We start from the raw sequence: 16,468 nt of genomic DNA, 5'->3' as shown, positions 1-16,468 counted from the left end.
TCCAAAGTCAAGGTGTTGGCAAAGTTGATTCCTCCCGGAGGCTCTGAAGGAGAATCAATTCTATGCCCCTCCTAGCTTCTGGTGGCTGCAGGCAATGCTTGGCCTTCCCTGGTTTATACACTCATCACTCCAGACCCTGCCTCCACAAGGCCACTTTCACAGATTCCAGGCTTTAGGACATAAACTTAACTTTCGGGGGGACCCCCATTCACCTCACTTCAAGATGAGTAGTGAATTGGTTCTTGAGTGTTGGCAGTGGGGGAGGCACAGCGCTTACTGCCTGTGAGACCTTGGGCAACTCACCTAACCTCTCTGTGCCTCTGTTTCCTAATCTGTAAAGTGGAGGGTCATGATCCACATCTATAAGGGCTGGCGTGGGGATTAAATGAGATGGCATATACAGGGTGGCTAACACAGCCTGGAACATAGTAAGCCTTCAACAATTTGTTTCCGAGCAGGCTTTGCACAGGGTTCTGGGGTTACACGGGCGGAAAAGATAGGGAGTCCTCACCTTCTGTATTCAGCAATGATTTGCCGAGTGCCAACGAGAGGCAGTCATTGATACAACAGCGAGCAAGACAGACACAGATCCACCACGAGGAGCTCACATTGTAGCAGGGGAGGCCATCATCAGTTACTCAATCACAGCGGCCATCACTGCTGTGGTGGAAGAGAATGACAGTGCTAATCCAGAGTGAGTCTGCATCACCCAGGGGACTTTTCCTTGGAAAAGTCCTAAGGGTCGGGAGGACGAAGGGAGCCATGAGAAGGAGATATTAATGGACGATCAAGGGGGATTCTCAGGGTAAACGCCGTCCAGAAGTTTAGTGCTAAGAGCCTAAGAGGGTCTGTTCGTTCAAAGCAATCAGAGGATGAATTGTTGCCGGCTTTTGGGAAAGCTGGACTAGTACAGTTCCTGGCGCACAGTGGGCCCTTCATAGATGCTGCTGAGTGTTGAGTGAATAAATGGTGGCTGTGGATGGTGGTGGTTGAGGAGTGAGGGCAAGGTGGGGAAGTGGAGGTAGCAGACACAGACACCTTCTAGGGGCCTAGGCTAGAGACAGGGGAGAGCTGGGGCAGTTGTTGGGGGGCGCGTGGAGTGCAGGGAAAGGAAGCTGAGTGTGTGATTGGCTGGTGAGGAGATGAGAATTCAGCCTGGCTTGATGAAGAGCAGATGTAGACTCCTCTCCCACAGTGGCCTAAAAGGAGGGGAGGGAGGAAGTGCAGATGAAGTCAGTGTGTCTATTTGGTGACGGGAAGTTGAGGACACTCTTAAGAATGGATTGTATGTGGGAAATAGAGTGAAGTCACCTGAGGAAGCTGCTGGGTGAGAAGATCAAAGACACCTGAGTAGGAGTGAATGACCTTTGAGGGGAGCCAGAGGAAGCCGCCAGGGAAACAGGGAAGGCACCTGCATAGCATCACGGGCCGGCTGCCCTCTGTCTGCTCAGCGGTGTGGTTTTTCCAGCAGTCCTCAGCCGCTGGCTGTAGGCATGGGGAAGGTGGCCCAGGGTTAGCCAGGCCATGGGACACAAGGACAATGAGTTACTGGAGGTGAGTCACTGGCGAGTGAAGAGGTTGAAGCCACCAGCCACTGAGCCCACACGCTGAGAAGGGAACAAAGAGGCCTGGTTGATAAGGAGAAAGGCCAGTGGTCAAGTGACCACTTGGATGAAAACAGGAAAATGTTGTGAGTTGTCTTAACTCGTTGGATGAAGACCGTGTCAGCCACAGGTGTGGCTGAGGTGCGATGAAAGAGATCAGGAAGTGAGAGTCCAGGGTGCTGAGTGGGCTGTGCAGGTGGCAGATGAGGCCATCACTGAGGATTGCAGGGCTTAAGTGGAGATCCGGGCTGTGAGCCAAGGCCTAACAGTCAGGATGGGTTCTGTTACGCAGCAGAAACCAGCAACCCAGACACTCAGTGGCTGAATGCAAAGGGAAGTGTATTTCTTTCCCTCACTATATGTTCACTGTGGGTCAGCAGGGGAATTATGCTTATCCTAGTCAGAAACCTAAACTGATAGAGGCTCCTTCCCTGTGCTTCCATGACCCCAGGGGCTGAGGCAAATACAGTACTCGTGGCCTCCTACTGGCAAGTAAATGCTTTTACGTGGAAACTACAACTATCCCTTCCATGCATATTTTGCTGGCTAAAGCAAGTCACGTGGTCATGCCTAATGAAGGAGAATGAGAATAATTGGAAACAGCCGTAATGATAATCATACAAGGCTAGGACTTCTCAGAATTGGAAGAGGAGATGAGCAGATGTCAGCGATGGGAGGGAGGAGGGCCTGACAGTGTTAGCCTCAAAGGTGCTGGATTTTTACAGTGAGTGAGTGAAAAAAATACAGTTCAGAAGAGGCCCTGGGAGCAAACGTGGCAGCTGGCTTTAGAATCATAGGACGAAGAGCCATCGTTGGAGCAGGTGCCTGGGGAGCACGTCCTTGGGTCATGCGGGGGGCATGTCTCAGTCTAGGCCAGTGGGGAAGTAGACCCCCCGCATCAGCCCCAGAAGGAGAAGAAGAATAGCATAGTATGTGCTAGGCCCAGTGTCCAGCATTTTACAAATTTGATTTGTAGTCCCTACAACAACCAGCAAGATGAGAGTTACTGTCCCCATTTTTAGAGAGGAAAACAGAAGCTCCAAAGGGCCCCCAGGAGCCGAAGGTGCACAGCTAGGTAGGGGCAGTATGAGGACTAGAAAACCCTTGTGTGGCTCCCATGTAGTCCTTCAGGGAAACTGAGGTCCTCCCTCCTCCTCCCATCTCACACTCGGGCTCCAGGGGAGCCCGGAATCTCAGACTGTCCAGCTGTGACCACTCAGGGTCCAGCTGGGGCTTCTCTCCAGCAGCCTCCTGACTTGTCAGTATGGCCATCTGGTAGCCATTTTAGGTCCCTGTGCCTGAGGCCACAGGTGCAAGGAATGACCAGCCGACACCAGGGCCTAGATTCCAGTAACTGAGAGCGTGAAAAGTGCCTGTGAATTCTTTCCTCCACTGGCTGCCAACAGGCCCAAGGCCCACCAATCATTCACACATCGCTGGCCAGCAGGCCTCCCAGGCTGCTCTCTGAGGTTCATGAAGCACTTTCCCATTTGGAGTGGACTAGGACAGGGTGCACACTCCCATTTGCAGATGAAGGGGAGAGCCCAAGATCACACCCTGGCAAGTGGCAGGACCACTCACCTGTCCCCCTGACCCCAGCCTCAGAGGGTGGTGGCCACTGCTGGCTGCTGCTGAGGCCTTCACCAAGCTTTGTCTGGGTCCAAGTCCAAGTCTGGGCTGGGGATGCAGGACTCGGGGATCCTACACTCACCCTTAGGCCTGGGTCCTCTCTGGGCTCAGAACCTGGAGGCCACACTCTGTCCTGGAGACTCCGGTGGGGTGTGGGCCACTGTAGATAGGATGGGCCAGCCTGAGATGGGCAGGAGTGCAGAGAAGAAGGAAGAGCTGGTGGAGGACAGAGAGCAGGTGAAGAGGGTGCAGATGGGGCTGTGCTTCTTGGGATTCATTATGGGCACTGCTCAGGAGACCCTGGGAGGAGATGCCTTATAACCTCATTATCTATTCTAGAGTGGGAAGGTAGGAAGTATCAGCGTCATTTAACACGCAAGGAAATTGAGTCACAGTGAAGTTATTTGCCCAGGTTCAGGGTGCCAGAGTGGTGACACTGCTTTCCCAAGGACATCATGGTAAGTGTCAGGGCCAGGAGTTGAAACCAGGTCCCGATATTTGGGAAGTGGTTAGCTTCCTATGGAAAGAGAATCTGGGCCTCTTTGCTACTAAGCAGCCCTGGAACCTGGGTTGGGGCTGGGGGACCCCAACATGCATATTCCTCGGTCCTTTCCAGGCATCACCTACTTCAGGGGGACCCCGCTGCCTACTGCTTCCCTTCCAGATGAGAAAACTGACATCCAGAGCTGGGAAGTGCTTGGCCCAAGGTCAGGGCTGTGATTCCCGATCCCTCAACAAAGCCACCTGCACCACCCCACCCATCCCTCCTCTACCCCAGGCCTGAGTTCAACTGTCCGTCTCTCCTGCCCAGCTCTGCCTTTTTAGGAAAGGAAAAGAACAGCCCTGGGGCGGGCGGGCAGGCGGGCGGGCGGGCATGCTAATCCACCTGCTCCCGGCGTCTCTAGTTACCCGTGGTTTGGGGCTGGGCAGCCCCAGCTGGGAGTGCCAGTCCAGCCAATGGGTGCTGCCGGCTGAGCTCTCCGCCAGAGCCATAAAAGGCTTTGCCACAGCCCAGGCCTGAGCTGGCATAGGGCAGCCCCAGCACCAGCGCCCGCCCCGCCCCTGAGCCTGCCAGCCCGGCACGTCCTCGGACTCTGCCTAATCCAGCCTGGGAGCAGATGGGCCTGCCGTGCACGTGCACCAGACCCAGGCCGCTCCAAGGTCAGGGAGGTGGCACCACCAGGGCAGAGGCCAGAGTCAGGGCAGGGGCTTAGCTAGCCATGGTGATCCTGGCGAGGGTCCAGGGTGATGACACCTAGGCCTGGTCCACGCTGCATCATCTCTTGACAATGGCCACCTAGCCTGCCTCCTCCACCTCTGAAGAGGCTCTCAGCAAAGTTAGTATCCGGCTTCTGCAACTTCTGGGGTCTTCCCAGGGATCAAGCTCCAACCCACTTAATCCACCCTGGGTTCAGGCCGCATGTTCCTCTCAAAAGTAGGGGTATCCATTAGTGTGTGCCTGTTGTGAGAGCCATGTGTGTATGTCCCCTGTGGCCTGCAGGTGGGGACAGACAGCCCCTCCCCAGCACAGCCCATCCAATCTGTCAGCGCATAATGCCTCTAACTTAACACTCATATGATCCCTGGAAGGTAGGAAGTATTGGGTCCCATTTAACAAGCAGGGAAATAGAGTCATGAAGAGGTTATTAGCTTAAGGTCAGGGTGCCAGGATCCAGCTTCAGAGCAGTCTGACTCTAGAGCCTGTGTTCTAGACCTCTGGGCACGCAGACCTTCTCTTGGAATTTACCATCCTGGAGGGAAATGGGACCAACATCTAGAGCAACGTGTGAATGCGGGAATGAAAGGCATGTCTGACACATCTGAGATAAGAGGACCCTTTGTTCCTGAGTGCTGAGAGTAGAGGGTGCTTCCCAGGCCTCCAATGCACCGACACTGCCCAGGCTATGACTGCCCATGTCTGCAGCAACCCAGACTGGATAATCCCTGGCCACCTCTGACAATTAGATTCTTCACAGAAGCCACTGGGTTCAAGCACCCTTTTGTGTGTCCTACATAGGCCAAGCTGAACTGAGGGCCAAGACTGCGGTGTTCTCCAGGGCCACCCTACAGGTGAAGGAAACGTGCTGGCATGGGGGGGGGGCGTTGGCGGGCCTGGCTGGCATCAGGCTCTGTTTGCTCACCCAGGAAAGGAGGAGATAAATATAGACACAGGATTACTCAGATACAGCCTGGGAAAACCGGCTCCAGAGCCTTGACTTCAGCCCTGGCCCAGCCTCGCCTTCACTGGCCTGCCCACGCAGTGCCCGCTGCCAGGCCTGCCCCGCCTCCTCTCAGGACTTCCTTCCTACCTGCTCTCCCTGGGAACTGGGCAAGCACTTGTCTCAACTCCCATAGCAAGTGAGGAACAGACAAAGTCAGCGCTTGCTTGGGCACCGGGAGTACCTTTGAAGGCCCAGGCACTATACCAGTACAGACACAGTTTCCTCAGTTTCCCCGTCTGTGAGGTAAGAGGCTGGTGCACCCAGCCCTCAACTTCCTTGGGCCTGAATGTAGAGACCACCCAGCAGAAAGAGGGTGAGGTCGGGTTCTGTCTCACGCACAAGGAGATGCCAGTCAGAGTGGCATGTGTTGGGGGCTGCCCTCGGACCCTGGAGCCAAGCTGCATGGGCTGGAATCCCAGCTGTGCCAGGTATTAGCAGTGGGACTTCAGTTAGGTTACTTTACCTAATGTGCCTCAGTTTCTCATCTCTAAAAATAAGAATAATAATAGTCTATTAATAATTATTATTACATATCACATAATATAAATCTTATACATAGTATAATAATAATGAATAATAATAGCACTGGCCTCCTAGGGCATTAGAGAGAATTAGATGCATTGTTGTGTGCAAAGCACTTACACCAGGGCCTGGCACAGAGCAACGGCTACACATGTTTATTAGAATAGTAACCAGCTGTAGCAGCTGGGGTCCAGGGTGCACGTAGCCTGGGTAGGCCACTCAGAGGCTCTCATCTTCCAAAGGACCTGCTGGGCCCTGGGCTACACAGTGGACAGGTCTCTGCTGTTCTCAGGCCCTGGCAGCAGCTCCTCTGCCTCCCTTCCCTGACTGACAGCTTCTAGAGTCAGGTAGACACACAGTTGGCAGGGGCTCCACCACTTACAGGCTGTGTGACCTTGGGCAAGTGACTGGTCCCTCTTTGAGCCTCAAATAGCCATAACCCTAACCCTAACTTCAAACAGAGAGGCTCAGAGAGGGCCATTTCTCCCGCATTTATCCCTCCAGGGATTGGTATGAGAGTAAATAGGGGAATATGTGGGAAGCTTCCAGCTCTGCTGGGCAAATGGGTTCTCTGCGTTTGATTTCATCCTGACCCCCTTCTTTCAATTCCTCCAACTTCCTCCTGTGGCTGTGAGCTTGACCTGAGAAGGGCCACACCTGGGTACATGACCCTCACATATGCAAGGGCCCTCAGGTATGGGAAACATGCGTGCCTCACCATCATGCATGAGTGCAGGTCCCCACTCACAGGCCCGTGGGGCCCCCAGGAGCTTGTATGTTTCCTCCCACATAGGCCTCCACTGCATGGCACTCATGTGTATCCACACAGCTGTCTGTGTCCACTCTGTGCATACCTGCCAATGCATGCACAGACCTATGCACACACGGACACACGGGCACAGCCATGCACAAGCATGGAGAAGCAGGTGCCTGAAGCTATGTCCCTGCACATCCTGGCCAGCACACACGCTTCCACTCTCAGGGGGCGTCCTAGCCAGGCCTGGCCCCAAGGTGGCCGTCCTCATGGCACAGGAATGCAGACAGCTGGGGATGCTCTGCCAGCGGACGTGATAGAAAGGCCAAGGGGAAACCACACGGGCAGAAACCCAAGCAGGCGTGCCAGGCCAAGGCGGGGCCCGTGAGTGCCAGGAATTGTGTAGTTGCAGGGGGTGGGGCACGTGCAGATACTTGCTTGCTCCAGTCTCTCCTGTCACCCTGTGTCCTCAGAGTCTCTGAGACTTGGAGGTCAAAAGGGCTCAGAGACCATTCTGTACCGGGGGCAGAGGCCAGGTTCTACCTCCCCAGCCATGCTATGTGGCAGGGCTCTGCCGCTCTCTAGGCTACAGTGCGAGATGTTAGGGGCCACACCGAGCAGTCTTCCTTGCTGGGAAATCAGAAGAATCTATGACCACAGAGATTTACAGGAGGAGGACTGGTGTCACTGACTCCAGTCAAGAGAGATGGTAAAGATGATGTGGAAGTCACTATAACACTCCAGGTGCAGGCTTGCGGGGACTCACGCTGACTCATCACTGTGTTCTAAGATGTTTGCATCTACTGACTCCCTGGATGCTCACAAAGGGGAGCTGGCCCCCCAATTATGGATGCAGAATCTGAGGTGCAGAGAAGTGTTGTCCCAGAGCTGGCTGACTTCAGAGCCCAGCAGCTAACCACTGTGCTGTGTGGTCTCTGCCTCCATGCACATTTCACACCCTGGCAGAGAGGTTTGCAAATGAGGCCTCGGTATTGCTGGCAGAATGAAAGACACTCTCCCAAATGCAGGGACCTCTGGCCCCAGACAGGAGAGCAGCCTCCCCATCCCCTACAGCATCAACCTTGCCCAAGGTGCAGCCATGCTATCTATGGGTAAGACCACCACACAGGGAGGAGTCAGGCAGAGCCAATGGTTACGGGGAGGGAGGGGCGGGGGGGCTTCAGCCTCTTCTACCAGTGCCAGTCACAGGGGGCCAGCTGAGGCTGGGTGGAGACCAGGTCAGGGTACCAAGAGAGGACAGACATGAAGGTATGAACAAGGCCATGAAAGATAGGACCTGGTGTAAAGACAGGTCATCCTCTTTAGAGGACATCCATGTCCCCCATATAGAACATGTGGCCTAAGAGGGACAGAAGCCAGAGAGTTCCAGAATACACTGAGTCCCAGGGGCTGGCAAGGACCCCAGTGAGGACCTGCTCAATTGCGGAGTCCCTGAGGCCAAGGGTGACAAAGGTGGCTTCCTGCAAAGGGCCCCCAGGCCAGCTGGGACCCCCATGCTCCAGCCCTGTTTGCTGGGCAGAACTGTGGGCTGCTATGCCCTGGTGTTAGGGATCTTGCAGATGAGGGGGAAGGAAGACAGCATTAAAAAATTCCATCCAATCGCTTGAGCCCAAGAGTTAGAGGCTGCGTGATTCATGATAGCACCACTGCACTTCAGCAGCCTGGGTGACAGAGCGAGACCCAGTCTCTAAAAAAAAAAAAAAAAAAAAAAAAAAATCCCATTCCGAGGAACCTCCCGTCCTAAGCTCAGACTTGGCCATTTAGTCGCTGCCCCCCACCAGGGATGGGGAAGCTAAAATGGAATTCCTCCTGTGAAGATAGAGCAGTCACAGGAGTACCCAAAAGGCAAGTGGTGCCCAAGGCCACACAGGGCAGGAGGGACCCCGACTCCAGCAGCTTCCGCACCCTCTCAGAGCAGCCCGCAGTGGAGCCTCAAGACTCCCCACTCCCTCTGCCAGGGCTGACGGTCGGCAGCGTCCAGCAGCTGTGGGAGCCACCCCGCCATTCCCCAGGAGAAGGGTCTTCACCCATCCAGGAGAAGGGGTGCCCAGTCAAACTGCCCTGGGGCTCTAACTGCCCTGCCAGTCCTCCCGTGGCTGGGGGCAGATGACGTCACCCCCTCTGCACCTGCATTTCCACAGCAGCAATGCCCAGCACTCAGCGTTACCGGTCAGATCCAGACATAGCCTGGCACCCGCAAAAGGCCCTCTGCGTGGCCATCTGGAGTTTGCCAAGACTTCTCAAGGTGGTTACACTCCTTTCCAAAGCACTTTTGGGCTGGAGACCTCGTTACACAGCCCAGGACTCTGGGGAAGAGCAAGACTGCCAGGGTCATCCCATTTCCCACTGGACAGGCCCAGGCCCAGAGAGGGGAGTGGCTTCAGGGAAACACCCCGCAAGCTGGAGGCAGGACTTGGGGGACCCAGCCCCCGCTTCCTTCCCACACCAGCCTCCATGTGGAGAAGGGGTGACGGGCCCCACACGGCCTCCCCAGGGCAGCGTCAGGTCTTGCTGTGGCCGCTCGAGGTCTCCGTGCCTCCCACCAGTCTTTCTGGGGCAGCTCCCCCCCTCCTCCTGGGCAGCCCTCCCCGCAGTTGCTGATTCTTTGCGAGCCACCCAGGGGCTTGGGCGGCCAGGACCACTCAGACCAGACCCCCCCGGCCCGAGGCTTAGGGAGGGTGCCGGAGCTCCCCGGGGACTGCTGGAGTCCGGGCTGGGCTTTCAGGGCCCCCGCAGGGGTCCGGGCCCCAGGGGAAGGCGAGGCGCGGGTGGCCCTGCGGTTCGGAGGTGGGGTTGGGGGCGCACGTGGCCGTACTGCCCGTGCGGTCGTGTCAGGCCCCGCCGCGCCCCGGTCCCAGCACGTTCGTCCGCCGCGCAGGGAACAAAGCGTCCTGCGCATTCCTGCGCGCTGACTCATGGCCGGCACGTAGCGCGCCGCCGCCCCTGCTTTGCCCAAAATTGGTCGGGAGGCGAGGGCGGGCCGAGCGCCGCCGCCTGCAGGTCCGCCGCGGCTGCTCGCGCTCGGGCCCCCAGCCCGAGGATTTCCCAAACACGTCGGAGAGGGAGAGGCAGCTGCAGGAACCGCCCGGCCGTGGGGCCCGTGGCGGGGGGCGAATCCCTGCCGGGGGGCCCCTCTTCTCTTTCAGCCTCATTTTCTCCATCTGCCGAGGGGGCATTTGCCAGGCACGGCTGTAAGGACTTGGTATGAGTTATCTCACCTAAGTCGCACACCTACCCCGAGGAAGGTGCTATTAGCATCACCATTTTAGATGTGGAAACTGAGGCACAAGGCGGTTCCAGGCAGGGAATGAGACATGGACACTGACTTGCTTGAGGTGAGGTGCTAGTCAGCTGCAGAGCAAGGATTTGAACCCGGGCTGTAAGGTTTCAGAATCTACATGTGTCCCCTCAAGTGAGCTGCGCAGCCTGTGGCCCGCAGGGTTCCAGGCTCCCTGCCCTTTGGTGGTTGAGACTGGTCCGTGGGGCTCCGGGATGCGTCCCTTTCTAAGCCTCCATTCTCTTACCCATCAAGTAGGTGCCGGCAGAAGGGGGCCCCCCAGGGGTTGTTGGGAAAATCACAAGTGAGGATCCAAGTATTACTGTCTGGTGGAAGGAAGAGGGAAAGGGTTTAACAAACCTGCGTCCCCAGCACCCTCCGGTGATACGGGCAACACCAAAGTATAGAGAAGGGCGAGCTAAGCCCCGCCGGGCAGGGCCATACTGGGATGGGCCTCCTTAGGGCAGCCAGGCGACTTCCGAGCTGTGAGCTGCCTGTCCCCCACAGGGTAAGCACTTGTCAGAGCTGGAAAATGAGGTAGTGGGAGGGGCCCTGCCCAGGATGTCTCTGCCAGCCTTTCCCCTTTCGCCCTTGCAGCCTGGTTTCAGAGACCGTGGAGTTCTTTGGAGCTGTGGGGTGCTGGGCTCATCAGAGGTCCTCTGACCCTGAGTTTGCAGGAATGAGGCAGCCAGCAGATGGCCTTGTTCTCAGATGCCAAGACAGACTGGGCTGTGGCGTCACCCACCTGGGGCCCTTCTGAGAGTCCAAAGGAACCCACCCCACGCCCACTGGCTGGAGACCACCTGGCCTAGGCCTCAACAGAACAGATGCAAGGCCACTGCCCCCACCCTCACCTTTTCCTCTGACTCCACTTTGAACTCAGGAAAAGGTCAGGTCCTCCGCTTGGTATTCAAGATCCTTGTGGTCTGGCCTCAACCTCCTCTCTTACCACGGAATCCCTCAGGCTGTTCACTCCCTATCCTGGGGTACTTCATGCCCTTTCAGGCCTACCGGCCTTTGCCTGGGCCATCCCTCTACCAGGAATGCGCGCTCCACCTCCACAGCCTCGCTCAAAGTCTCTTTGGCTAGAATGCCCTCCCGAGTCTCCAGGCAGAGGCATCCCTCATTCCTCCGGGGTTCTGCAGGTCCATATTTGTCCCTCCCTTTTGGCCAACAAAGAGCCAAGCACGGAAAGGCCCTACACACTCCCAGCTCCCTCTCCCAGGCAAATAGTGATGCCTTTGGGGTACCTTTCCCCAAATCCCAGCTGGGCCAGAGATCCACAGCCCCAGCCCTGGGCCTGACACAGAGTGGGCTTGGCATGTTTGCTGCATGATGGCAGAAAGCATAGCCGTGGAGCTGAAGACCCTTCTTCTTTACCCCTGGCTGTGTGACCTTGGGCGGCTTATGCAGCCTCTCTGAAGCTCACTCCCAGGCCCTGCCCTCTTCCTAGGGCTGTTTGGAGGACCAGATGAATGAAGGCAAGAAGAGTGCTTGGCACGTGGGCACAGCTCCCCACACAGCTGTCATTCTCACCGGGTCATTATTACAGACCTCCCTTGTGCCTGAGGCCTGGGTTCCAAGGCTGGGTGGCAGGCAATGAACTCAGAAGCATCCACAGCCCCTCGCTGACGCAGGCCGAGGAGGTACCAGGAGAAGCGGTTGCCTTATGGTTATGGGTCAGCCAGGCTCTGGCCCTCCACTCCCCACCCCCAGGTTCCACCCATATCTGAGGCCACGAGGCCTTCCCAGCCCACTCAGGCCCTCTTATCTGGGGAGATAAAGGCCCCCTCCCCTTAGGTGGTGGACATCAGCTGGCTGTTGTGTGACCTTGGACACCCTCAGCCTCTCTGGATCAGCCTTGGGGAGTGCCGGGTGGGGGGCAAGCGGTTGACTCCCAAGGCTCCCAGGCTTAACTTCCAAGTGGCATGGCCGGGGCTCACCCACTGCATCTGGGCCCCAGAGGAATGGCTCTGGCTCTGGCTCTCTTCGCCCCCGCCCCACCCCCACCATATCTGGTACACAGGGTTGGTGGGAACTCTCAGGAACCCTGCGACATCATCCCCTATCTCCTATTGAGAGTCTGAGGCTATTATTTTTATTTGATACATTGGGAAACTGAGGCCCGGTGATTGGAAGGCTCTCACCCAAGGCCACACAGGCAGTGGCCAGGACACTGGGGTGTGGCACTGGGCCAGGGTGGTCGAGGTCAGTCTGCTACAGCCCCCCATTCTCTGGTGGGCTCCTGGCTGGTGATGGCCATCCCCTCTTCCACCTGCCTCTCCCAAGCTTCAGCTATGTGCCAGGGCTTGGACAAGACCATCAGCTTCTGAGATGCTCACATGAACCCATGGGACAGAGTGGAAGCCAAAGCTCAAGGAGCTGTGATTGCTGCCCAGGGCACACATCCTAAGGGGCAGAGTGAGATTCTGTCCCTTTTTCCCCACTCTGCCTCCTATACCAGCTGCCTCCCCAATCTGGCAGGGTTTAGGGGCTCCAGCAACAGAGGCCTTAGAAAGCCTAAAGGGAGACCCTCTGGTCTCACAGATACCCCCTGGCTATGGACAACCAAGGAGGGGGTGTGCCTGTTCTGCCAGGTTGGGCCCACCAGGCCCACCTGGGCCCACAGCCCCTTGACAGGCCCAGATGAAGGTGTGAGATCATTGGGCCACCCCAGCTCCCTGTCTGACCTCACTGCCATGACTCAGCCCTGCCTCACCCAAACCTCCTCCTCCTAGGGGACCCCAGGATTGGTGTGACCAGGCAAGTACTGTCTCCACTGTGTGCCTTCCCCGCTCAGGGCCTCCCACCCTGAGTCATTGCTCACCTCACCACCCAGCACACTGCGTTAACGGCCGGCTCCTCCTGGCAAGCTCCCAGAGATCGTGCTCCTAGAGGCTGGGACCAGGCTGAGGGATGGAGGAACTTCTCCTGCTGCCCCTAGACTCAGGCCCTGAGGTCGATCCCCAGGACCTGTTCTGGGGGACTCTTTGGTTCTGACAAGAAAATCCAAATTGAGGTTTCGTGCTGAGGCCAAGAACTCAGGCTGACCTAGGTTCAGATCCCAGCTCCTTTCTTGCTAGATGGACAAGATACCTCAGTTTACCCATCTGAAAACTAAAGGTAATAATAAGCTGCATCCTATGAAAATTCTACCTGGGATCATATGTGCTGGGATAGTGGATAAGAATGCAGGCCATGTAGCAGGGAGATCTAGACTCAAATGACCTTGAGCAAGCCACTTCACCTCCTGAGTCTCCTCACTTCCTCAGGCTCCTCATCTATAAAATGGGAATAATACTAAGTGCCTTCCCACTGGGATGATTAATTGTGATGATATGTATTATATAGTGGGTTTTGTAAGTGTTGGCACACTGGAAAGTTCAGTAAACAGTAGCTATGATGAATTCTTATGATTCACATAGATTCTTATGATAGCACACAGTAGGCCAGGTTGGTTTCAGTGCACGATGGGGAGGTGGCGAGTAGATGGCCGGCCTCTCCTGTTGCTGATGGAGTAGCATCAGGGAAGGGCTTCTGGGGTTCTGTCCCTCTGGAGCGCCCTCTGCAGGCCGAGCACTAAACTTACCCAGGTAGGTGCAAAGGCTCTAAGAAGTCTGTCTGGGCTGCTGCTGACTTCACGCTTTAGTCCCCAAGTCACCACCAGGGCCACGTCACTTCATGGAGGACAGAGCTGATGCTCAGACAGGAGAAGGGGCTTGCCAGCAGCCACCCAGCCAGAAGCCAAGCCCAAGCCTGCAACTCCATGTCCCCCTCTTCCCAGCCTGGGAGCTGCCTGCCTGGAGCCAGGACACCCTCACTTCCCAGTCTCAAGAAGGCCCTCTAGGAGTCTCAGAGCTCATCTGTCCACTGAAGATGCTTGGACAGAGTTAGGAATGCTTCCTGGGAGAGGTAACATTTGAGACGGGCCTGGAAGAATGGTCAGAGTAAACCAAGTAAGTAGGAATGGAAAGAGGATGGGAGGCCCCAGCTTGCCCAGAGGCATAAGGTGAGGAAGTCCGCTATGCATTCAGAGTGTGGCCCACCCTGGGGTCTGGTGGACTAAAGTCTTGGACACCCAGATCAGCCTTAGTGGGATGAGGCAGGAAAGACAGCTGAGGGTCAGAACCCAGGCAGGTCCAATGCCAGGGTGGGCATTTCGAGTTGGTGAGACATTTCACCCTGGTGCCAAGCTGGGATCAGACCACAGATTTCAAGCTGAAGCCTGGTTCTTGCAGGAAGGCAGCTTTGCCTAGAAACCTCCCAAATCTCCGCACACTTCTCGTCTGGTGTGGCGCTGAATGGTGTGCCAAAGCAAACATGAGTGGGCAGCGGAAGCCAGGGTGGCCACTTGCCTTGGAGGGATTTGGTGACCCAGAGCAGAGGAGGGACCTGTCGTGGGGATCTGGTCCCTGGCATGAAGATGGCACATTCTAATAACACCCTACACACACACACACACACACACACACACACACACCACTTCTTTCCAGGACTTTGTCCACACTACAAGGCCCACAGCACCCTGCATCCCAAGGTGAGTGGGGAAGGGAAGCAGAAGTGGGTGGGCAGTGCCTTCCTGAGCCAGGCAGAGGCCAGCTCTCACACTGGCTCCACCATGAAGCACTCCCAGCAGCTGCCAGGTGGGATTTTTCTTCTTCGATGCTCTTGACAAATGTGGCCTCTGACACTCAGGAAGACTAAACCATGGTGTGCCCTTAGTTACACGGTTAGTGACCCACAGAACCAGCCCCCAGACTGGAAAACCCCAGCCCAGACTACCCCCTGGCCTGGCACAGTCTTAGGCACTTGTCCATAATGGGACAGTGGGTGAGGAGGGATTCAAGCCTGAGTCACAGAGCTTTGAAGCTGGAACCTGGATCTGCCAACCCTCAGAGGTGCCAAGGGTGGGCTGGCCTCTGACTCACCCCCACACCCTGAGCTCCCTGTGGACAGTGGCTTCAGCTCCTGACCACCTTTCTGTCCACCAGGGCCCAGCTGTGCCCATCTAGGTCATTCATGGCTCAGGATTCCCAGTAGCTGCGCAGGAAGGCCAAGGCCTTCAGGCAAGGAGGTGCCCCAGGCACACCTCTGCTTAGGAATGCTGGCCTAAAATCACAGTGGGAACCCTGGCTTTGCCTGCCTCCTGGGCACCAAGTTATCCTGATGATAGAGGCACCAAGCACTTATTTTTAGCTGACATTTCATTCTAGCATGAAGTACCGTACTCCTGCGTGGCCCAGCCTCCTGGTGGCTCACCCTTTCCCAGAGGGGAAAGGCGGTCTCCTGGTGGGGCCCTGGGTGCGCCTTGGAAAACATCGGTTCTAAGCAACACAGTGGGTGTGACTCTGAAAAAATACCAGCTACGTGTCTTGGCTGGTGGTGATGGTGGGATAGAGGAGAAGGTTGGGGTTCCAGCCCCTCTGAGCACAGGGGCCTAGGCCTCAGAGAGAAAAGCATGCAGACATCCTGGGTCTCCAGGACCCAGGCCTGGCAGGGAGACCTCTGGCAGCATCCTCCCTAGACCCCAGCTTCATCATCTGGGTGTAGACCAAGGGCCCTTTCATCTCTGACTTTTTCCTTAAATATGATCTCAAGTCTTCATCATTAGAGCATTTTGAAGAACGGCATCAGATGGGAAAAGGGGCCTAGACCTCCTTAGAAGGGGTGTCTATGCAAAGCTTTGTCTGGTGAGATGAAGCCATCTAGTTGCATTTCATTTCACCCCAGTGTTTGGCACAGATCATGGGTCCAGGCCCATGCTAGGCTCTGAGGCGGGAATTCCAGAGAAGACCATGTTTCAGTTAGCTCATCATATCAATGGGGAGACACACCCAGCTCTAGGAAGCAACCAAATAATGTTTCCAGGACAGCGTAATATACCATTCAAAGCTCTTCAAGCTTCGACCCTCCTAATCTGTCCAATCTTGTTTCTCATGAAGGAGGATGGGTGCATGGGAGGCTGGTTGAGTAGATGTGTGAACGGAAGGATGAATAAAAGGTTTGATGATGAATGGATCAATGGAGAGAAAGAAGGCAGATGGGAGGAAAGGTGGATGGATGGGTGGGTAGGTGGACAGATGGATGGATGAATGGATGGATGGATGGATTGATGGATCAATGGATAGAAAGAAGGTGGATGGGAGGAAAGGTGGATGGATGGGTGGGTAGATGGACGGATGGATGGATGGATGGATGGATGGATGGATGGATGGATCGATGGATAGAAAGAAGGTGGGTTGGAGGAAAGGTGGATGGATGGATGGATGGGTAGACGGATGGATGGATGGATGGATGGATGGATGGCTCAATGGATCAATGGATAGAAAGAAGGTGGATGGGAGGAAAGGTGGATGGATGGGTGGGTAGACGGATGGATGGATGAATGGATGGATGGATGGATCAATGGATAGAAAGAAGGTGGTTGGGAGGAAAGGTG

At 56.0% G+C, this 16,468-nt stretch overlaps 5 annotated features.

Moving 5' to 3' along the window:
• Positions 3,095-3,595: an enhancer, noted in NCBI's record as "H3K4me1 hESC enhancer chr1:41968132-41968632 (GRCh37/hg19 assembly coordinates)". NCBI's record gives its function as "activates a minimal SCP1, AML or CMV promoter by ChIP-STARR-seq in naive H9 embryonic stem cells {active_cell/tissue: H9 hESC(naive)}" and the evidence as "EXISTENCE:reporter gene assay evidence [ECO:0000049][PMID:30033119]".
• Positions 9,353-9,901: an enhancer, noted in NCBI's record as "H3K27ac-H3K4me1 hESC enhancer chr1:41961826-41962374 (GRCh37/hg19 assembly coordinates)". NCBI's record gives its function as "activates a minimal SCP1, AML or CMV promoter by ChIP-STARR-seq in naive H9 embryonic stem cells {active_cell/tissue: H9 hESC(naive)}" and the evidence as "EXISTENCE:reporter gene assay evidence [ECO:0000049][PMID:30033119]".
• Positions 9,450-9,499: a silencer, noted in NCBI's record as "silent region_749". NCBI's record gives its function as "represses an Ori minimal core promoter by ATAC-STARR-seq in GM12878 lymphoblastoid cells {active_cell/tissue: GM12878}" and the evidence as "EXISTENCE:reporter gene assay evidence [ECO:0000049][PMID:35858748]".
• Positions 9,640-9,829: a silencer, noted in NCBI's record as "silent region_748". NCBI's record gives its function as "represses an Ori minimal core promoter by ATAC-STARR-seq in GM12878 lymphoblastoid cells {active_cell/tissue: GM12878}" and the evidence as "EXISTENCE:reporter gene assay evidence [ECO:0000049][PMID:35858748]".
• Positions 11,495-12,025: an enhancer, noted in NCBI's record as "H3K4me1 hESC enhancer chr1:41959702-41960232 (GRCh37/hg19 assembly coordinates)". NCBI's record gives its function as "activates a minimal SCP1, AML or CMV promoter by ChIP-STARR-seq in primed H9 embryonic stem cells {active_cell/tissue: H9 hESC(primed)}" and the evidence as "EXISTENCE:reporter gene assay evidence [ECO:0000049][PMID:30033119]".

Source organism: Homo sapiens, chromosome 1 (genome assembly GCF_000001405.40).
Source record: "Homo sapiens chromosome 1, GRCh38.p14 Primary Assembly".
Classification (NCBI taxonomy): Eukaryota; Metazoa; Chordata; class Mammalia; order Primates; family Hominidae; genus Homo; species Homo sapiens.
This window is presented reverse-complemented; position numbering and strand designations above follow the sequence as displayed.